This window comes from Homo sapiens, chromosome 12 (genome assembly GCF_000001405.40).
Source record: "Homo sapiens chromosome 12, GRCh38.p14 Primary Assembly".
Classification (NCBI taxonomy): Eukaryota; Metazoa; Chordata; class Mammalia; order Primates; family Hominidae; genus Homo; species Homo sapiens.
In genome coordinates, this window is record NC_000012.12 from 32325493 (window position 1) to 32349637 (window position 24145).

The following is a 24145-nucleotide window of genomic DNA, read 5'->3' on the forward strand; positions in this document are numbered from 1 at the left end:
ACTAAAGCATAGTAACTGAAACTTACCCATATCAGAACCTCGCCAAGAGAGGACTACCATGAAAGTTAAATGAGGGGCATTAGGTTCCATAAAGGATCATAAAAATACTACTCTACTCTATTATACATTTACATATACACATGTGTATCCTAAAGTAATAAGCTAGTTTTAAAATATTAACCATACTTAATGATTAATATTTATTATATCTAATTATAATAATTTTACTTGCCACCTAGGGATTTAGAAGAGTTCAGAGGGATTTAATGTATGATCCAGGAAGTTTGAAAGTTTGAATTGGGCCAGGCGCGGTGGCTCACGCCTATAATCTTTGGGAGTGTAATCTTTGGGAGGCCGAGGTGGGCGGATCACGAGGTCAGGAGATCGAGACTATCCTGGCTAACACGGTGAAACCCCAGCTCTACTAAAAATACAAAAAAATTAGCTGGGCGTGGTCGTGGGCGCCTGTAGTCCCAGCTACTGGGGAGGCTGAGGTGGGAGAATGGCGTGAACCTGGGAGGCAGAGCTTGCAGTGAGCCGAGATCGCGCCACTGCACTCCAGCCTGGGAGAGAGTGAGACTCCATCTCAAAAAAAAAAAAAAAAAAAAAGAAAGTTTGAATAGATACTTTCCTTTAGATATGAAGACATTCAGCATCAATTCATTGCTCTTAAAGCAGATCTCATGATGGTTTATTTTTTAAAAAGAAGAAGAAAGAAAAGAAAACACAAGTGCAGAAGGATATGAACACCATGATACTTCTTATAGAACAATAATGTAAACAATATTATTTGGTTATTGAGAAACATTTACATTATAAATGTAAAAACTCATAATTCATAATATTCACCCATATGGAAGGAGAGAAAATGGTTTAAAATTTTTCCACATTGCAATTTCTTATATACCTATGTTTAATGAGACAGTATTTTATATGGACACCTGAGTGTTTTTCATCACACGGTAATACTTACATATCACATTATTCAAATTAATTACTAATATTTAAAATTCCTATTTTGGACTGAAGGAATTGAATTGACTTATAAGTTGTTCTTTTAGCCCTAAAATTCTGTATGTATTCTTTGACTTTTATATTAGAAACCATCAAAGCTGGGCGTGGTGGCTCCTGCCTATAATCCTAGTACTTTGGGAGGCAGAGGCAGGGGGCTGACATGCGCCTAGGCATTCAACACCAGCCTGGACAACATAGCAAGACTCTGTCTCTACACACACACAAAATTAGCCAGGTGTGGTGGTGCATACCTGTAGTCCCAGCTACTCAGGACACTGAGGTGGAAGGATCACTTGAGCCTGAGAGGCAGAGCCTGCAGTAAGCCCTGATTGTGCCACTGCACTCCAGTGTGGGTGACAGAGCGAGACCCTGTCTTAAAAAAAGATAAAAACTATCAAATGTAGTGCGTGTTTATTTTGGGGACTAAATGCTTATTTTTAAGGGGATGGTTAAAGTACTCAGCATTATTTAGGGAGTTAAAGCCTTAGGTTTTAAACCTGATTTGGGGTTGAGCTCTGGGAAGGAAAAGATGATTGATTCATAGGCACCCTGATACAGTCACTTATGATCTGAAAAGCAGATGTACTCTAAGGCACTCAAAATAAAAATAACACCAGTCCTATGCTTATCTCTTAAAGTCATGTTGTTTTCTGCAAGGTGTTAAAAATCAAAATAAGATTGTTCTAATAACATTGAAGTTTCGTCAGTATATGTGTATGATACAAGCGAAATTGATGGGTAACTACTTGCAGTATAATTCTTTTAGAATTATGTACTTTTAGATTGACTTACCAGAACTGCTGAAATAAAAAACACTCCAATTTAATTTGAAATAGTGGGAACATTGGCTCTGCTGCAGTGATTTTAAGTGTATACATGCCCGACTGTGAATGGATTAAGTTCATCATTGGTGCTGCCTTGAGGTGATTCAGAAACTTTCTTTTGCCATTGCAGGTAGAGCGGGAAAAGGCCATTCTTTTGGCCAACCTACAGGAGTCACAGACACAGCTGGAACACACCAAGGGGGCACTGACGGAGCAGCATGAGCGGGTGCACCGGCTCACAGAGCACGTCAATGCCATGAGGGGCCTGCAAAGCAGCAAGGAGCTCAAGGCTGAGCTGGACGGGGAGAAGGGCCGGGACTCAGGGGAGGAGGCCCATGACTATGAGGTGGACATCAATGGTTTAGAGATCCTTGAATGCAAATACAGGGTGGCAGTAACTGAGGTGATTGATCTGAAAGCTGAAATTAAGGCCTTAAAGGAGAAATATAATAAATCTGTAGAAAACTACACTGATGAGAAGGCCAAGTATGAGAGTAAAATCCAGATGTATGATGAGCAGGTGACAAGCCTTGAGAAGACCACCAAGGAGAGTGGTGAGAAGATGGCCCACATGGAGAAGGAGTTGCAAAAGATGACCAGCATAGCCAACGAAAATCACAGTACCCTTAATACGGCCCAGGATGAGTTAGTGACATTCAGTGAGGAGTTAGCTCAGCTTTACCACCATGTGTGTCTATGTAATAATGAAACTCCCAACAGGGTCATGCTGGATTACTATAGGCAGAGCAGAGTCACCCGCAGTGGCAGCCTGAAAGGGCCCGATGATCCCAGAGGACTTTTGTCCCCACGATTAGCCAGGCGGGGTGTGTCATCCCCGGTAGAAACAAGGACCTCATCTGAACCAGTTGCAAAAGAAAGCACAGAGGCCAGCAAAGAACCAAGTCCAACTAAGACCCCCACAATCTCTCCTGTTATTACTGCCCCACCGTCATCTCCAGTATTGGATACAAGTGACATCCGCAAAGAGCCAATGAATATCTACAACCTTAATGCCATAATCCGGGACCAAATCAAGCATCTGCAGAAAGCTGTGGACCGGTCCTTGCAACTGTCTCGTCAAAGAGCAGCGGCTCGGGAGCTAGCCCCCATGATTGATAAAGACAAGGAAGCCTTAATGGAAGAGATCCTCAAGCTAAAGTCCCTGCTGAGCACCAAACGGGAGCAGATCGCCACATTGAGGGCGGTGTTGAAAGCCAACAAGCAGGTAATCTCATTCTACTGGTGAAAGCATGCCAGTCAAAGCTTTCTTAACTAATTTATTCCCTAATTTTATTGAGTATCGAGTATCGTCAAGATGAGAGTTCAGATTCTTGGTAAGTGGATAAATAAAACTGTCCCAGTGCCAGATCAGAATGTCATAATAATTATTGTTTTTAAATGATGAAATACCTGTGCCCAGTTAGGTGGAGGCAGAGGTGAGGAACTTAAAGCAGGAACACAGGAGAAGATCTAGATGCCTTTCTGCAGATGTAGAAAGGCAGCTCAGGCGGTGCTGGGCTGAAGCCTGGCAGTGAGTGGCTGTGGAAACAGGAGATGGAGGGTGGCAGAATAGGCTGGCAAGGCAGGTTACACCAACCAGGGCGATACAGCAAGAAAGACAAACACCCAGCAGGCAGCTAGAGCAAACAGAGGGAAATCTGGGTACATATGGTGAAGAAGGTCTGATGGCCAATAACTGGACCCCAGCTTTGGAGCTGGAGGTTCAGATTCAAGACTCAATTTCTAGGAGTATAGCAAAATTATTATTATTATTATTTTTTATTTTTGTTTTGAGACAGAGTCTCGCTCTGTTGTCCAGGCTGGAGTGCACTGGCGCCATCTCTGCTCACTGCAACCTCCGCCTCCTGGGTTCAAGCGATTCTCATGCCTCAGCCTCCGAAGCAGCTGAGATTACAGGCATGTGCCACCATGCCTGGCTAACTTTTTGTGGAGACAGAATTTCACCATATTGTCTAGGCTGGTCTCGAACTCCTGACCTCAAGTGATCCGCCCACCTCGGCCTCCCAAAGTGCTGGGATTACAGGCATGAACCACCGCGCCCAGCCAAGTATAGCAAGATTAAAAGGAGTGTTTTGTCCTTCATCCCAAACTTAGAGAAACAAGAGCGCTAAATAAATGAATAAGTCAGGGATGAAAGGCAAGACAACTGTGAGGACCTGAGTGAGTAACAGAAACAAAGCCAGACAGATTGTTACCAACAAATTAAATAGTTTGGGGCCACTTTAGCAAGGAAATAATAGAGAGTGTGTGTGAGAGAGTATAAGAATGAGCTCTACCTGTGCTACTGACCACGTATCTGAAATTTAGGTTCATTTGGGATGTTAACCCACCTGGGTCAGAGGTTAAGTAATAGGGAGCTTTTCCTAGCTATTGATCTTGTCCTTCTGGACAAGTAGTAATGTTACAACATGAACCTGTCTAATTCCCAGCCCTCCTTAATGACTGAAATTGTTTTCACCCTGAGTTTTACCTTGGTGGGAGTGCTGCGAAATATAGGCAGGAAAATTATTTTCACCTTTATTTAGTTTATCTGAAAAGATATTCTTGAAAGACACATATTTGAGAAAGGTGCTGAATAAATGTTGGTGTTGATAAAGAGAAGCAACAAAGCACCAAATACCCTCCTGCAAACGCAAGCAGTGCCAGTGAATAGTAGGTCAAGGGAGCTCTTGGTCTTTGGAGAATGAGGATTAATTTCAGATTCAGAGTGTCTTCTCCATTTGCCATCATCTGGGGAAAACCACGCCCTTATTATCTCATCTACAGTGCAGCTTTCAAGTCCTCATCTCTAGTTCCCATAAATCTATTTATATAATTGACATCTATACCATAAGCCATAATATTGTTTGCACTATTAACATGTTTTATATAAACCTAAGGGCAAAATATGACTTTATTTTATGTTGTCACTTTAGAGAAATAGAAAAGATTAGAGTGAATGAAACCATCATTCTCAGCAAACTATCGCAAGGACAAAAAACCGAACACCACAAGTTCTCGCTCATAGGTGGGAATCGAACAATGAGAACACATGGACACAGGAAGGGGAACATCACACACCGGGGCCTGTTGTGGGGTGGGGGGAGGGGAGAGGGATAGCATTAGGAGATTTACCTAATGTAAATGACGAGTTAATGGGTGCAGCACACCAACATGGCACATGTATACATATGTAACAAACCTGTACGTTGTGCACATGTACCCTAGAACTTAAAGTAAATTAAAATATATATATATAAAATAAATAAAATAAAAAAAGAAAAGATTAGAGTGAATGAAGAATTTGTGAGAGATCTGACTCTAATTTTAGGTCGGAATAAAGGAATTTATTATTGTAACTCTGCTATAATTTAAAGACCCAATGATTCAGAGTGGTCATAAATAACCAATACCATATTAGATAAGGCTTACACAAGGACATGCTATCCTGGGGCATTCTTGATCAAGCCATCCAGATAACTTCTCTGACTTCTTCCTAAAGGTTGAATATTAACAATTTAGGTCTGGGCGCAATGGCTCACGCCTGTAATGCCAGCACTTTGGGAGGCCAAGGCCAGTGGATCACTTGAGGTCAGGAGTTTGAGACCAGCCTGACCAACATGGAGAAACACCGTCCCTACTAAAAATACAAAATTAACCAGGCGTGGTGGCGGGTGCCTGTAATCCCAGCTACTCGGGAGGCTGAGGCAGGAGAATCACTTGAACCCCGGGGGGCGGAGGTTGCGGTGAGCCTAGATTGCATGATTGCACTCCAGCCTGGGCAACAAGAGCGAAAATCTGTCTTAAAAAAAAAAAAATCAAGATGCTTAACTGAAACAGAGGTATAGATAAGGACACTTGGCCAACCAACAGAGACTAATTTGTGAACAAGCATTCATTGATTACATATTTTCTGGGAGGCAGTAAGTAGGGATGCAAAAATAAATGACATAATCTAGTAGGAATTCCGCAATTGCCTGTAGCTGTTTACAAGACAGGACTTATCAAGCACTTTAGAGTGATGTAAACAGTACCACAGGAAATCAGAACAGAACAAAGCATTCCTAGCTGAAGTTTTATTTTCACTGTGCTTTGTGGTACAGGTTGAGTATCCCTTTTCCGAAATGTTTTGGGGGACAAGAAATGTTTCAGATTTTGGATTTTGGACATTTGCATATATACATAATGAGTTATCTTGGGGATGGGATCCAGGTCCAAACATGAAATTTACTTATGTTTCATGTATTCCTATATACATAGCCTGAAGGTAATTTTATACAATTTTTTTAATGATTCCGTGGCTGAAACAAAGTTTTGACTGCCACTCATGACATGAGGTCAGGTGTAGAATTTTGTGGCTCATGTCAGCACTCAAAAGGTTTCAGATTTTGAAGCATTTTGGATTTTGGATTAAGGATGCTCAACCTGTACCATTTGCATTACATTAGAGTTACAGTCTATATGGGCTCAGTAAATTAAATGAAAACACATTTCTAGCAATGCATTTGGTCTGCACGTTCATGATGTTGGGGCTGTTGCTGTGATGCTTATTGCCGTAAATAGCTTCAAGTATTAACAGATGACATTCACTATATTTATTTAGACATTGTGAAATGTTTGTTTTTAAGGTTAAGGTGAGAATTCTGGGGTACAGGGGAAAAAAGGAAATCTCCCTGTTTTAAAATAGGCATTCTACTATACAGCCATAAGAAAGAAAAGAATGAGATCATGTCATTTACAGGGACATGGTTGGAGCTGGAGACCATTATCCTTAGCAAACTAACACAGGAACAGAAAACCAGATACCGCATGTTCTCACTTATAAGTGGGAGCTAAATGATGAGAGCAAATAGACACATAGAGGGGAACAACACACACTGGTTCCTGTTGGAGGCTGAAGGATGAGAGGAAGGAGATGATCAGGAAAAATAACAAATGGATACTAGGCTTACATACCTGGTGAAGAAATAATTGGTACAACAAACCCCCATGACACACATTTACCTATGTAACAAACCTGCACATCCTGCAGCTGTACCCCTGAACTTAAAAGTTAAAAATAAATAAATAGGCATTCTGTAGTCTCTATGAATCTTCTCATTTACTTAAGGATTTTTTCATAGGCACAGTGCCTTCTGATGAAGTCAGTAAATGCTTATGAAGCACCGTCCATCTAGCACTGTGCTAGATGCTGAAGATTCAAAGAAGACTAACACATGGTCCCTGCCTTCCAGAAGACTCAGCCTCCTGGGGATGTCAGGATAGAAACACAATTACAGTTCAACGTTACACATGCTGTAATCCAAGTTATGAGAACAATGCAGAGGAAGCAACTAAGGTTTCCTAGAGGAGCGGAAAAGACTTCACAGAAGCAATTATACCTTAGTTTGTTATTAAAGGATAAGAAGTTGTTTTCCAGAGGAGGAGGAAGTAATTCCAGACAGAACAGTAGGTAGAGAGGCTTTGGAGTGACAAAATAGAATAATATATTCAGGGAATGCTCACAAAGGCCTATGTGGCTGGAAATAAGACTTTTTTTATTTAGAAAGTCAACTTTGGAATGTGTGGAGAAAGTGGTGAAAGCAGAAATCAGCAAATCCAGTGAGTTATGGATACTTAAAATTACTTAATTCTGGAAAAACTTTGCACAGTCAATGGACAAACAAATCTACAAACAAAACTGAGGCTTTGGGGTATTTGTCACAAACAATAAATGATTTTGTATTTCTGTTTCAGATCTAGCTCTTCTGTTATCCCCCATTTTATTCCCCTTAGATACTGACCATGGGATTCTATGTGCTTACAAATTTGTTACATCTACATTTCACAACTTAAACATACTTTTCTGTTTTAAATGAATATGTGTCTAAGCTTTTTAAACACTAAACAACTGCCGTTTTTCCCCAGGTCAATTTCTGCCTTGTGGATAATTTTCTGAATCTGTAATATTTCTGAAGATTCCTCCAAGTATTTACAGAACATACAGAAGTATTTTATGAGTAAAGTCTCATTTTAATCTGAATTTAAATCCAATCAAAACTCACAAGAAACTACTTCGGAATCAAAACAGTAACAAAGTACCCTATCCCAACATTGATTTAATTAAGAAAGAATTTATTTCTATAGATGTTGGCACTTTGCATATGAAGGTTTGAAGCTGCCCATTTCAAGCAACAAAAAGAAATGTTAAAAACCAAGGTAGTCTTCCTGGGAAATCCCGTTAGTAATGGATTTCTCTGCTAGTAATGGGGTTGTTCATTAGTATGGGGTATTTGTATACACTTTGAAAAGTTATAGTTTCCAGTTTGTAAAAATCATGTGTTCCCAGTTTGGCTTCAACATGCAAACTGTGTGCTATGCATCAAACAGGCAATCCCTAAGTATACACTGATTTTATGCATTGATTCAGTCAGTGTGTTTTTTTACTTGTGTGTGTGCCAGGGTAGCTCTTGATTTGAAACACTATTAATTCCAAGAACTTCGGACATGCCCAAATCCCAGATTCAAACAAATGTTTTAACTCATTCAACATTTTATAACCCCTACTTTTATGGAGATTTTGAAGGAATTATATTTCACTATATTTCATTGTTTGGACAAATTGTATGCAAATTAGAAAGTAATTAGTTCTTTATCACTTCTTTTCCTTAAATGTATGATAACATGGATTTATAGTTTATCATATACTCATATTATAAATTACAATGGTGTATGTCTTTTATTCTATGTTTTGGGCCCACAGAGCACAGGTGACAAAATTTGAGTTCTAACATATTCCAATTTGATTATTCCTATTGAAGCTGTGCTTCTTTACTAAATAATTGGTAAAAAAATTTTTTTTGTATAAAGTTTCATTTTGGCTCCCTCCTTGTCCTAAAATCGCATACTTTCAGCAATCTGCATTAAATATTTATTAAACTACTGTCATTCTCTTAGCTCCTGATACTGACTCTGGCTCGCAGCGGGCTTCTAGGGCAATTTAACCACATTATGAATTCACAACACATTTTGACATTAAAGAAAAACTTCCCTGTGTCCAAAGCGCATACCTATGTTTATATAAAATGTAACCAAATCAATTTCACTTTCCTTTTATAAAAGAACATAATAGGCACAGCATGAAGCAATCTGTATGATGGATTTTCCTGATATGAAAATTGTAAGCAGTGTGATTTTCTGCTTTAGACAGCTGAGGTGGCGCTAGCTAATCTCAAGAACAAATATGAAAATGAAAAAGCAATGGTGACTGAAACCATGACGAAGCTTAGAAATGAACTGAAGGCTTTGAAAGAAGATGCTGCAACCTTCTCATCCCTGAGAGCAATGTTTGCAACAAGGTAACAGTATTTTCTTCCTATGACTGGGTGTGGTAGGTGGGGTAAAGGCTTTAAAATTCACAGCCCTGCCTTTGTGCATGTTGAGTGTATTCGGTGAGTAGTCTAGGATGGCTAAGTGTGAAGAAAATCTGTGGAAGTCCACTCTGACGTATCTAAAAGCAAGCCTTCTGTGCTGTTTTCCAGAGCCCCCTACTGAACACTCTGGATCCAGAAATTCTATTACATAAAAATATTTTTTAAGTAAGCTAATATTAATAGGTTGTTTCTAGAATTTATGCACCCCAAAGAGAGTCTCCCTCCAAATAAAAAGCTTTCAATAAGGAAAAAAACCCCACTTCCTAGAATAGCTAAATATTATCACCTCTGAAATAGAGTTCTGTGAAGGAAGTACATGAAAGTATATAAAAGTGCCTTACCTTTAGTACTGTGCGAGAAGATACTGTCATAATGAAGATTAATAATCATCACATCAGCTAATTACTTATAATTTTTTTTTTTTTTGAGACGGAGTCTTACTCTGTTGCCCAGGCTAGAGGGCAGTGGTGCGATCTCAGCTCACTGCAACCTCCGCCTCCCGGGTTCTAGCGATTCTCCTGCCTCACCCTCCCGAGTAGCTGGGAATACAGGCACCTGCCACCACGCCCGGCTAATTTTTTGTACTTTTAGCAGAGACGGGGTTTCACCCTGTTAGCCAGGATGGTCTCGATTTCCTGACCTCATGATCTGCCCGCCTCGGCCTCCCAAAGTGCTGGGATTACAGGCGTGAGCCACCGCGCCCGGCTGTATTTTGTGTTTAAACATGAAGTGATTGTTAAGAATGTATTTGATTTGAAGTTTTCAGAATCTTGAGATTTTCAATATACTGTTGAAATACATTTTTTGCTGTCACAATGCAGTGTCAAAAAAGACCTACTTTTTTTTTTTTTTTTTTGAGATAGGGTCTCACTCTGTCACCCAGGCTGAAGTGCAGTGGCGCTATCTCGGTTCACTGCAGCCTGGACATCCTGGACTCAAGCAATCCTCCCACGTCACCTCAGCCTCCCGAGTACCTAGGACTGCAGGCTTGCACTACCACACCCGCTAATTTTTGTGGTTTTTGTGGAGGCAGGGTCTCGCCATGTTGCCCAGGCTGGTCTCAAACTCCTGGGCTCAAGAGATCCGCCCACCTCGGCCTCCAAAAGTCCTGAGATACGGGTATGAGCCACCATGCCCGACCAAATCCTACCAATTGTGTATCTTGTATGATGCAAACTTGGTGCAAAATTCACGAATAATTACTATGGCTTTACTTGCAGATTTAGTAAATAATTTACATTTGGCTGATACATGTAAAAGTGTTAAAAACAAACAAAAAAAGATCTCTTGAGCTTTATAGGAGTCCCCCAGAAACTGAGATCACACCACTGTACTCCAGCCTGGGTGACAGAGCGAGACTCCGTCTCAAAAATAATAATAATTTTTTATAAAAAGGAATTGTTATCCCCAAATTGTCTATTTTCACAGACTTTTTTTTGGCATGAACAGTATTTGTTATTCATATTTTAGCGGGTAAATAAACTCAGAAAAAAAACAAAACAAAATTCAGAATGAGCTTTTTCTCCACGCCACCTCTACCTTCCAAATGTATATGTGCCAGGTTTTGCCTTTGGTAAGGAAAAAAGATCACTAAGCTTATCTTTCTTCTTCGGCACAAGTATGAAACCTGAATAAAGATGTTTCGGACAGCCTGCTGTATCTGTATGAAACCTTGTGAAATCTTGGTTTTTGCAGGGTTTTCTGTTTTTTGTTTTTTGACAACTCATTGCTCTGTCATCTGGTTGAGAAATCATTGAAAATACTCAGTTTTCTAATTCAGGCAAATCAGTCAAATTGACAAGACCAACAGCTGCAATCTATACTAAACTAAAACGTATAAATATAGATAAGGAAATGTTTTCTTTATAAACATTATTATTTTGGATACTATAGGCATAGCCTATAATAAACTTGTTACATTCCTCCAAAGAATACAATGTCATACAGTAAAAAGAGCTACTGTAAGACACTTCAGGTATAGTGGACATTGTGTGAGACTTGACTGTTATTCGTCTGTTACACAGCAGCCCCACGATAACTCTGTCCCTGGGGTTTAAGACATTGCCTATTAAGACTGTCTCCATATGGGCTGGGTGCAGTGGCTGATACCTGTAATCGCAGCACTTTGGGAGACTGAGGCAAGAAGATCACTTGAGGCCAGGAGTTCGAGACCAGTCTGGGCAACACAGTGAGACCCTGTCTCTTTAAAAAATAATAATGACTGGGCGTGGTGGCTCATGCCAGTAATCCCAGCACTTTGAGAGGCCAAGGTGGGAGGATCACTTGAGGTCTGGAGTTCAAGACCAGCCTGGCCAACATGGTGAAACCCCGTCTCTACTAAAAAAAATACAAAAATTAGCTTGGCATGGTGGCACACTCCTGTAATTCCAGCAACTCGGCAGGCTGAGGCATGAGAATCGCTTGAACCTGGGAGGCAGAGGTTACAGTGAGCCAAGATCACGCCACTGCACTCCAGCCTGGGCGATACAGCGAGACTCAGTCTCAAAAAACAAATAAACAAAACAACAACAACAAAATAATAATAAATTTTTTAAAAATGTCCCATATATCTCATTGTATGGATGAACATATATTCCAGTTTTCTGCTATTGTGGGTTATCTACATTCTATTGCTAGACCTTTAAACCAGTCTTCTAAATTTCTAAATTTCGGTCAAATTTATTACTTTTCAGCTTAACTCCCAAATTCAGTTTCACCAAGATTTTCCTCTGACCACTTCTCTGTTTTGGTTCCAGATGTGATGAATATGTCACCCAGTTGGATGAGATGCAGAGACAGTTAGCAGCTGCAGAGGATGAGAAGAAGACTCTGAACACTTTGTTACGAATGGCTATCCAGCAAAAACTCGCCCTGACCCAGAGGCTGGAGGACTTAGAGTTTGACCATGAGCAGTCCCGACGCAGCAAAGGCAAACTTGGAAAGAGCAAGATCGGCAGCCCTAAAGTAAGTGGGGAGGCATCAGTCACCGTGCCCACCATAGACACTTACCTCCTGCATAGTCAGGGCCCACAGACACCCAACATTCGGGTCAGCAGTGGCACTCAGAGGAAAAGGTATGCATGCAGCGATCTTCATAGTACGGTGCAGTGGCCAGATTTTAGTTAACTGCAAAAATAAATGTGCTCTTGTTGTGGAGGATGGAGGAGGGGAAGCAAAAGAAAAAATGGGAGCTGGCATATAAATGGTCTTGCTAATGTGGGTCTTTCCAGATCAAAACCTTTTTGATAATTGTGTTTATGTAGTCCTTTCTAACCCCCTGCCCAATCCCTCCTCTTGATTAATCGTAATATAATTTTCAAGTGTCTGTTAATATTTTTGCTACTCTTTGTATGTGTAAATATGCCTCTCCCTTACCTCCAACCTGAGAATTGGTAGATAAAGGTGGATATTAAGAATGAAGCTGTGTTCTACCTGGGTTATAATTTTAAAAGTCATTGTACCTTTGGAAATGGTGCTGTTTATCAGCTTCTCTTTAACGGGGCAAGGATATGAATATGTTCTCTTAGGGAAACTTTTGTCCATATGACCAAAACTGATGACAGACTGAAAGGGGATGTCTATATCTAGATAAAATGGGATGGAATACGCACAGTCCTTTTCTTGAAAGCAGGTTTTTGTGCTTTTTCATTTGGCATGGGAATATTGCCCAGAGAAACCACTTGTAAGGTTTTTAGGGGCTTGATTTTGTGAGTCCTGGCTGTTGAGTTACTTACCCTGTATTTTCGGTTAATGGTAACATTTTTATTTTAGGAGCTTTCATTAAAGACTCAAATAATATATTTTCTATTTGCGGTTCAAGCTGACTAACTGTAATAAATCTTTTTTCCAGTATCCAGAACAGTTTCCAAATAGGGTTGTATCCTGATGTGGAAACTAAAAAAAAAAAAAGCAAAAAGATTGATTTACATATTTAAAAAATTAAATGCCAGTATAAATAATGTTGTCACTGGTGAGGCGTTAAAAGGTAATTAAAGTAAAACTTTTTTGTTTCCTATATGTATTTTTCTTGGATCTCCTGCAAGACAATTTTCACCTTCCCTTTGTGATCAGAGCCGTCCCAGGACTTCAGGGGCTTCCTACCTACAGAATTTATTAAGAGTTCCCCCTGATCCCACCTCCACAGAATCATTTCTTCTGAAGGGCCCCCCTTCCATGAGTGAATTCATCCAAGGGCACCGGCTCAGCAAGGAAAAAAGGTTAACCGTGGCTCCACCAGGTAAACATTTTTTCCTTGGGTGCATGTGATGCAAATGATTAGTTGAATAGACTCTCCCCTTCCTTCCGGTCACTCAGGCTCACCCAGCTGCAGAGTATACCTTTGATGATGTGTAAATTCCTATAAGTCAAGTAAAAACTTCCTTACACTTAGCTTCCCATTTCCTCCTTCACTCATATTCCTTAGAATGACAGACTTCCATTTAACAGCCAAAGATGGCAAATGAGAGTTGGAAGGAATGGGATAGGTAAAGGGAAATTAGCAACAAGCACAACGCACACACACTTGGATCCTATTTGCAGTTTGGTAGCTCATGGCGATTCCATCTTGGTCAGATTTGGCCAGTTCTCTCTTATCGTTTTTAATGTAATTTCCGTAAAGGGAGAGCCATATGTATAACAAGGCTTTTGGGCTGATTTCCTTTTGTGGTGACTCAGAACGTCTCCTCAATCATTATATTGAGAATAAAAGTAAAACCTTCTAAGATTTTGCTCCTCAAGAACATTTAGGTCTTAGTATAATGTTCTTGTAGATTGCAGGCCCCCCACTGGTTAATGCTTACCAACATGTTCACACTTAGCTTCACTATTTTGCATTTTTCTTTCTTCCTTCCTTCCTTTCATTCTTTTTACTTGTTCTATGAAGAGGCCTAACTTGAAAATGTGACATATGGCAAATAGAGAAAATTATTCTTGCAAATAAAAATCATCCTTTTAAGGAATCCCTGCATGTGAGTATAGGGCAGAAGTGGCAAACAAGGAGCCCATAAACCAAAGTAAGCTTAAAGGCAGCTGTTATTTGACTATTGCCAGAAAATAAAAAATAAAACTATTTAAGTTAGTTATTGACAGTTAAAAATTCAAGAGATTTTATATGAACATCAGTATTTCTGGCCTCTTTTGGAAGATTCTGAATATCTGGCAGCCCTAGGTCTGCGTTCACGCATGTCAACACCTGTTGGAGCTCTGTAGTGGCTGCTGCTGTTAGGGCAAGCTTCGCACTTTGCCACAGTCACCACTCCTCCTTATTACTTATACCCAGCCTGCTATCCTCATTTCTATTCTCTCCTGGCCCCTCCTGTAGTCTTTGAGTTTGCCACCGTTGAAATAGAATTTTTTTTTTCATTTTACCTTAATTCCTTTTTGCAAACCTCAGCCTTTGGATCTCTAATACTTTCCTTATCTGATTCATGAAGTCAGCCTACTGATTGGGATTAAAAGATGTGGTGTAGAAACTGATAGTGCATTTCACGTTCTAAAGGTGTTTGAGGAAATTGGTAGTGATAATGAGTTGGAATGGTGTAATAGCCAAAATATACACCTAAGAAGAAAAAAAGTAAAAACTGCTTGGTGTTTTTAATTTCATAACTGATTTCCTATTGTTTTAGACCTCCTTGGAAGGTACCTTGAAGTATTCTGTGAATCACCAAAGTGGTAATGATTTATCAGGATACCTAACTCGGATAAAACCCACAAGTCTTCTTTTTAGTGTTCCAAATGGATTTAGTAGCACTATCTACTGGAACTTAGAAAAGAAATTGGTATGATTAATAAATAACTCCTATTGCTGTTTAATTAAAAAGATAACATCTCAATAAGGTTAAAAATTAATAATCAATGTTAACAACAATAACTGTTTTCATTTTTGTATGACTGGTTTTTGTTTACATGAATATATACTTTATATTGTTATCATTACATTGTTTAAGCCATGAACATTATATCACAAGCTTTTCCATGTTGCTATCTAGTCTTGTTTTTATTTGTTAAAGTTATTGTATCATAGATTTTGTTTCAGATGCTGTTATCACATTAATCACTACTTCTCTTCTTGTCCACTGAGGTAGTTTTTCATTATTTGTTATATTATAGAGCACTGCTGGGAATACCCTCATGCATTCAGCTTCTCATCTATTACATTTTTCTCAAGAGTGAGATCACTCAGTTAAAAGTTGAACATCCTTATGTTTTTTGCTCCATTCTGATGTTGCTGTCAAGAAGGGTATATCAATGTACTAAAAGCCCATAAAACACTTTCCCTTTTTCCCACATTGGGAATCTTTCTGCTACTTTATCCACACTGTGCACATCTTACAACTCTAAAGTCAGTTAGCATACATGAATGAGAGTACCATATATTGTCTTAAACTCTTTAGTTTTGAATAACCAGAAAATACCATTGACCTTAGAAATGATTACTATTTATGAGATTCGAGGCCGGCTGCAGTGGTTCACACCTGTAATCCCAGCACTTTGGGAGGCCAAGGCAGGTGAATCACTTGGGCTCAGGAGTTTTAGACCAGCCTTGGCAACATGGTGAAAACCCGTCTCTACAAAAATTAGCCAGGTGTGGTAGTGGGCACCTGTAGTCCCAGCTACTCAGGAGGCTAAAGTGGGATCCCTTGAGACAGGGAGGCGGAAGTTTCAGCGAACCGAGATCGCACCACTACACTCCAGCCTGGGTGACAGAGTGAGACACTGTCTCAAAAAAAAAAAAAAAATTAGAGATATAAGGAATGTGGAATTCAGAATAATCACCAGACCAGAAGGTCATGCTAATGACAGCTTAACATATTGATAACCTTTATAATTCTCACCATTTATGTAAAGTTAAAATAATAAAAGAGGAAAGGAAGTAAAGCTGTTATTATAGCCTTAGGAATTTTTAATTATGTATCGTGGAATCAACCAGATTAACGCTTAGTAAATTATTATCAAATCAATCTTAGCAACATTTTCTAAAAGGTCCTAGTTAAATGAATTACTACAGAAAGTGACGGACCATCCACACCAAATAAATTGTAGCTTCTACAAATATCTGCATTATTACCAATATATGTTATTTTCCCTCAGCTGAACTATATAGGGTAAGACATATCAAACATTTTTTATGATGCTTTTACTATATAAAATCTTTTCAATAAGCCAAGAAAGAGAAAATATGACATATAATACCAGTCTTATGTTCTATATAAGAAATATCATAAGCCCATGGGAAATAGTAGATTTTATGAGTATTTTTAAATTCAGGAGTTTAACCATTATAAAATTTGCTAGCTAGTAACAATATCTATTAATCATTTTAAAAGGAAAATTCTCTATTAATGTATCAGAATGTTTTTGATAAGCATTGTTTTACATATATATGTATATATATATGTGTGTATATATATGTGTGTATATATATGTATATATATATGTGTGTATATATATATGTGTGTGTGTGTATATATATATATATATATATATATATATGTATAGTTTTGGGGGTTTGTTTTTTTTTCTTTTTTTTTTGAGACGGAGTTTTCCTCTGTCACCCAGGCTGGAGTGGAGCGGCGCAACCTTGGCTCACTGCAAGCTCTGCCTCCCAGGTTCATGTCATTCTCCTGCCTCAGCCTCCCGAGTAGCTGGGACTACAGGCGCCCGTCACCACACCTGGCTAATTTTTTGTATTTTTAGTAGAGATGGGGTTTCACAGTATTAGCCAGGATGGTCTCAATCTCCTGATCATGATCCGCCATCTCGGCCTCCCAAAGTGCTGGGATTACAGGCGTGAGCCACTGTGCCCAGCCTAAAATATATTTTTAGTACATCTTTTTAGATGATTTTTAATTATTCTAATAAGCAGATATGGGCTTTATTTTTCTATTGAGGACCATTGAAACAATTACCTCAACTAAAAATGAAATCAGTTTAATTTGTTTTTAATCCTTCAGTTGAAGAATTGAGAGAGGTATGTGTCGTTTAAAAATTTAAGACACAGAACATAAAATGTTATTTATTCTGTACAAGAGTTACTTTCAAATAGATTTTATTTCTATGAGATGGTAAACAGAAAGCCTCATCTCCTTAAATGCACAATTTCTCCATTCTGGAGAATCAACTATAGGGTGAGGCACTGATTTTCAACATTAGTAGAATATTGTATAGTAATTGATTAATGCATTATACTGATCGGTTTGCTGCATTAGTACAACCTTTTAAGGGAAAATTCTGGCGTTTCCCTCTGGCTGGCTCAGCTTCTGCAACCTCAGCCCTTACAATTGCAGTGCTTCTGGCCATGGCTTGCTTGTTAACTTTCTTGTTCTTGACTTTATCCTTATCCTGGCACACAAATTCCAGTGTCCTTCCACATGCTCATCTTAGTTTTCACAGTTTCAGTTACCAGCTGATCTGAGAAGTGCCTATCAGCCTTGATGACCTTGACTCAAAAGGGACCCTGTTGTCATCAAGGAGTTTGTAATTGGACAGCAGATTGTATGTCTTCACAAAATTGTTGCCTATTTTTTAGCCAGCATTTTATCTTGACTCCTTAACTACCTAGGCCTATATCCTTCTCCTCCTCCTCCGTCCCCTCTTCCTCTTCCTCCTCCGTCCCCTCTTCCTCCTCCTCCTCATCATCTTACCATTTAATCAATAATTGCAATCAGCCTGTCAGAATACGTAAAGGGAATCCATGTAATTCACAGGCGGGAGTTGTTATTTCTGTAGTAAAGACCTGACTGCAGCATTTACACATGATAAATAGGAAATGGCAAACCTGGGGAAGCAAGTTTGAACTCAATCTGGAAGTAATAGCCTAAGCAGCTTGCTCTTCACACTGTGTTTCCCATGTCACCCTTTTCCTCTTAGGTATCTTGCTTCTCCCTCTCATTTCAATCTCCTCCTTCCTTCTGTTCCTCCATCCTTCCATCCCTCCCTCCTGTCTTTCTCTGACACAATGACTCAGCTAGTTTAAGAGAATGGTATTATTTTGAAGTCTGAAAATGTTTCTGTGATATTTTGCTTTTTACTGATCTTTAAAGCAACTCACAGAAGTGTATTAGCCTTAGATACGTAATCACCCCTTGAGATATATAGTCAACAGTACACACTGACATGTTCATAGTAAAAACTGCCTTTATGTTTCACTGCATTCAAGCAAGTAGATATTTGTTTGTTTCACGTATTGCAAAGCCTATGTTCTTAAGCATGTACCAAAATCACATTTATTTCATTAATCCATTTACTCATTCACCAGAATGTAACAAAATTTAGTGAATATCTGCTATGTGTCAGGCACTTTTCTTGGCTCTTGATATACAATGATATTCAAATAAAACTCATAGTCTGGTAGGGGAGGTAGGAGACAAATATGTACTGATGTTAATAGATATTCCTGAAATAAATAAAGGAATTAGGATGGTTAGGAACGTCCTTCCAGAAGAAATGCAAGGCTGGCCATGAAAGGTGACTATATCGTAATAGGCAGAAGGTGGCAGCGCAGGTATGGGTCGTAAGAAGAACCTTATAGGAAAGGAGGTCAACTTGCCCCAGTGCCATGAGCTCAGCACTACAACCTGGTGCAGGACTTCGAAGTAATAGAAAGCGAGGCTGCAAAGGTGGACAGGGACCTGAAGACAGAGGGCCAGGTTAGTGAGAGCAGACTTACCACGGGCATAGCTTAGCAGTTTTAAGAATAGGATCAGATTTTCATTTGATAAAATCACCCTGATGACAAGGTGGAGAGTGGATTAGATGTGGGTAACATCGAAGATAAAGAAGCAGGTACAGAGACTCATAAAATATGCAGATGAGAGGTAGTGGAGACCAGAATCAAAACTGTGAGGAATAGGAATGTTTAAATATGTCCCAAGTTACAATTCAGTTACATATTTCATCAGCCAGCATGTCCTGTGCACACACGACCTGCTCTTACTGCTTTCCATGTTCTGTATGTGGAAGGAGATCAGTCAATCTTGAACTCATGGCCTCAGTATTTTGTACTTTATAATTTATATTTTTTCCTATAGAGGCTTTTCTATTTATGTGTATTCCACTTCCCCATATCACTAAACTGTCTTTTTCCACAGGATTCAATTCTTGAACTAGTAGGAGTGAAGGGCAGTCTGTTGAAACCTGTAATCTCTTAGGCTTGTATTTTCTTTGAACATAGTTTCCACAGAATTCTTCCCTGTAGGGGAAGGCCTGGGCACTTCTTGATGTCAGAACATGTTGTCTTTAGTTTGGAATCTGCCAAAACAAAAGTTAAATCAAAAATGTTAATTCCTGTCACCCCAGCACTTCGGGAGGCCAAAGCAGGAGGATTGCTTGAGCCCAGGAGTCCGAGACTGGCCTGGGTAACATAGCGAGACCTCGTCTCTACATTAAAATTTAAAAATTAGCTGGATGTGCTGGCATGCACTCATAGTCCCAGCTGCTCAGGAGGCTAAGGCGGGAGGATTGCTTGAGTCTGGGAGGTCGAGGCTGCAGTGAGCCACTGCACTCCAGCGAGTGATGGAGTGAGACCCTGTCTCAGAAAAAAAAAAAAAAAGAAGAAAAAATATATTAATTCACAAAATTGTCAACCACATGTTGAGAAATACATTTTTATACTTGCTGTATATTTTTCAATAGGTAATGGTTCAAAAATTTTAAAGTACAAAGGGTATACAGTAGATGGTAGATTTCTGCCACAACTGTGCCCACCCAACCTTTTGTATTTTTCCAGAAACATTCTATACATATATAAGGAAATGCATATAAATATATACATATATAAAAACATATGCATTTTACATATGTGTTAATACCATTGGCACAACCACAGACATTATGCATGCCGGTTTTTTTCACTTGATGTATCTGGGTTCTTCTTTCCTATACATTTATCTTTTTGTTTCTTTTGAGTCAGAAGAAGTTATGAAGGGGAAGGAAGACATGCTTGAGCTCTTTAAGAAAGCTTGGAATGTTTCTATGTGTGCAATAGAAATATTTCTTGCCAAATGATAAAATGACAGCTACAAGAATGTTTCTATTCAGAACTATTCAATAGAAATATGATATAAACCATATATGTAAATTTAAATTCTCTAGTAGTCTAGTAGTCATGTTAGAAAAAGTAAAAAGAAGTCAGGCACCATGGCTCACGCCTATAATCCCAGCACTTTGGGAGGCCAAAATGAAGGATCACTTGAGCCCAGGAGTTCAAGACCAGCCTGGGCAACATGGCGAAACCATGTCTCTACAAAAAATAAAAAGATTATTCGGGCATAGTGGCATGCGCCTGTACTCTCAGCTACTCAGGAGGCTGAGATGGGAGGATTGCTTGAGCCCAGGAGATTGAGGCTGCAGTGAGCCATGATCGTGCAACTGCACTCCAGGCTGGGTGACAGAGCAAGACCCTGTTTCAAAAAATAAATAAAAAGAAACAAGTGAACTTAATTTTAGTAGTAGATTTTAATTGACACACTATATCCATAATGTGATCATTTCAACATGGAATTCATAGGTGGCTAACACCTATAATTCCACTTTGGGAGGCCGAGGTGGGTGGATCCCTTGAGGCCAAGAGTTCGAGACCAGCCTGGGCATCATGGTGAAACCCTGTCTCTACAAAAACTACAAAAATTAGCCAGGCATGGTGGTGCATGCCTGTAGTTCCACCTACTCAGGAGGCCAAGGTGTGGGGATCGCTTGAGCCCAGGAAGCAGAGGTTGCAGTGAGCCAGGATTGTGCTAGTTCTTTCCAGCCTGGGTGACAGAGTGAGACCCTGTCAAAAAAAATATATATATACGTGTATATATATATATATATATATATATATATATATATATATATATATACGTGTATATATATATATATATATATATATACGTGTATATATATATATATATACGTGTATATATATATATATATATACACACACACACGCACACACACACATACACATACATACACATTCTGTTTTTCTTATTCAGTCTTTGAAATTCAGTATTATGCACTTACAGCATATCTTGATTTGAACTAGCCACATTTCAAATGCTCAACAGCCTAATTTCGCTAAGGGCTACTGTGTTGGACGGTGCAGTTCTAGAACTTCTTAGTTTTAACTAGATAGAATTTCCACACAGAAATCTAAATTTGAATAACTAATGACTGATTTTAAAATAAAATTTAAGATGGCATGTATTTCGGTTTTATTTCTTTTCTTTTCTTTTTTTTTTTTTTTAAGACAGAATCTTGCTCTTGTTGCCCAGGCTGGAGTGCAATGGCACAATATTGCCTCACCGCAACCTCCGCCTCCCAGGTTCAAGCGATTCTCCTGCCTCAGCCTCCCAACTAGCTAGGATTACAGGTATGTGCCACCATGCCTGGCTAATTTTGTATTTTTAGTAGAGACAGGGTTTCTCCATGTTGGTCAGGCTGGTCTTGAATTCCTGACCTCAGTTGATCCTCCTGCCTCAGCCTTCCAAAGTGCTGGGATTACAGGCATGAGCCACTGCGCCCTGCCCTCATTTTTCTTTTAAACTGACATAGACCAAAGTGCTATTTTGCTGATTCTGCTTTGTCTCTGATTGGTGGCAGTGCTTTTTAAAATAGATACATATTAAATGTTTGAGCCAGGCGTGGTGGCTCATGCCTGTAATCCCAGCACTTTGGGAGGCTGAGGCGGGCAGATCACAAGGTCAAGAGATCGAGACCATCCTGGCCAACATGGTGAAACCCCGTCTCTACTAAAAATACAAAAATTAGCTGGGCATGGTGGTGCGTGCCTGTAATCCCAGCTACTTGGGAGGCTGAGGCAGGAGAATCGCTTGAACCCAGGAGGTGGAGGTTGCAGTGAGCTGAGATCACGCCATTGCACTCCAGCCTGGGCAACAAGAACGAAACGCCATCTCAATTAAAAAAAAAGAAAAAGTTTGTACCTATATACCCTTTTCATACATCTCTTATTTGTTACTAGATCTCCTTGTCAATATAAAAACTTAATTACTTAGGTATATCCTAACAAAACATATTCCTTAAACATTCTTAAAACAGTATAATGACTTAGTTTTTTAATTACCGTAATGAAGTTGTAAAAGCCCATGTTTCTTATTTTAAGCAGAGAGTGCCTTAAAAAGGTTTAAAATGCATCCTGCCAGTTTTAAATAGCAGAATTTATTGATACCATATATATAGACTGAAAACACATCAAAGTCTTTCAAGGTTGATTATTTCTTGTGCCTTCCTTCTTCCCACAGTAAGAGAGAAGATAAAGATAATACTGAGTAAACCATTCCATGCTACAAATTGGACCCATTCGACAAAAATGCAATACTTAGTAGAACATCTGATGACCATGGTCCTATTCGTGTTTTTATTTTGTTTTATTTTTGTTTTTGTTTACTGTTCTCTCCTCTGTCCAGTATTCCTGTCCAGAAATTACATTTCCTTAAAAGATTTCATATTCAAAACCTGAGCATTGTATGCAAAATAAGCTATGATGAAAGGATGAAACTTTTTAATTACTGAAGAGATCAACATGAAAAACTCTGTAGCAAGAATGTGTATTTTATATTAGATCATACTTTTCAATCCATATTGACTATTTTAGTACCATTATGTAATTTTAAAGTCTTTTAGATTTTGTTAAAATTTTATTAAATCCATGGAAATTGAAAGTTCCTTATTTTAATCCTTAGGAGAAAAACTATAATTTTTCTCTAATATATCCATAAAGTGAAAGAAGAAGTACTTATTTGATATTCTTAATTGTTACATATTTAAGAGCAAGAGTAATTAGTTCATACTTATGTTCACCTAAGTCCACCCATACATTGCTGAGGATAGCGGCCTTCAGAAGGTGGCTGTTTCCGGAGGAGTAACAGGGAGGAACAGGTGGGCTGAGATATACATGAGGCCCAGGACATTCCAGGCAATAACTGTCTGCCTCTCCTGACTCTGCCCAAACCCGAAATGATGCTTTCTAGCTCACACAAAAATATATATATATATATATATATATATATATATATATATATATATATATATATATATCAGCAGGCAGATACTCAAGCTGAAAGAGACATTACTGGGGTTCGTTTCTAGATCACAGATCCTGCCTCAGGCTCACTGAAGTGACCAGCCTCCACCCAGTAACAACAAACTAGTCTAAATCCAGAATAAAACAATTATACATTTTAATCTTACCACCTTCTACCTGTGTGTGCTGTCCACCCTCAAGACAGAGAATAGCCCGTATTCCACCAACCAGCAATCACTAGCCTACAACACCAAATCCACAGTTTCTTTGGTATCCTTTGTGCCAGGGAGTTGGGTGCTGAACAATCTACCTGTAACATTCCCTTGCCTTCATATCCCAAAGCTCTGCAAGCAAAGAAGAGTTCTGGTGGGCAGCTAGGGCCATTTGTTGTAGTCCAGAGGAAGAGAGCCATCCGTATCTTCTGTGCTGTACTCATACCTATTTAATCCAATCTGCTGGCACCAGTCTATTATATTCAACTGTTTGCCCCCACTGTAACTACATAACAACCACCTCTATTACAACAGTGATTATAAGGCATTATCTGAGAGGGTATATCCAAACTGTACCTTGCAAAGGGACTTCTATCTGCAAAGAATACTAAGAAAACATATTATGAGAAAGTCACAATAGGTACCCAGAGAAGCCAATCTCTAGGTTAACCAACTACTTCCCTGTCCATTTCTCCTTATAAATGTGAAAGGAGAGCCTACAATGAAGAAATCCTGGAAGGGCATCTCCCAGCTCTGAGACTCTCTGATGCTATGAATTCAAGTTATTCTGTCCATGACTGGGTCTGGAGGTCACTGTGTAAAATCTACGCTTCTAAATAAATGTTATGATATCTCAGCATACTATACCATACTTATAAC

The 24145-nt window shown here is 39.1% G+C and overlaps 1 protein-coding gene across 28 annotated transcripts in view; it reads left to right on the plus strand.

Moving 5' to 3' along the window:
• Positions 1–24145, plus strand: part of BICD1 (BICD cargo adaptor 1) — a 276787-nt gene that overhangs the window by 218646 nt on the left and 33996 nt on the right. For 9 of the 28 annotated variants that reach the window (NM_001413168.1, NM_001354187.2, NM_001003398.3 and 6 more), the window contains 3 exons: positions 1969–3063; positions 9024–9175; positions 12007–12214. In NM_001413168.1, the coding sequence (NP_001400097.1) occupies positions 1969–3063; positions 9024–9175; positions 12007–12214 (1455 nt within the window). Of the gene's footprint in view, positions 1–1968; positions 3064–6961; positions 7574–9023; positions 9176–12006; positions 12325–13293; positions 15229–22491; positions 22912–24145 lie in introns of those variants that run through there. The other 19 variants (NM_001354186.2, XM_011520814.4, NM_001714.4 and 16 more) reach the window with 10 other exon arrangements.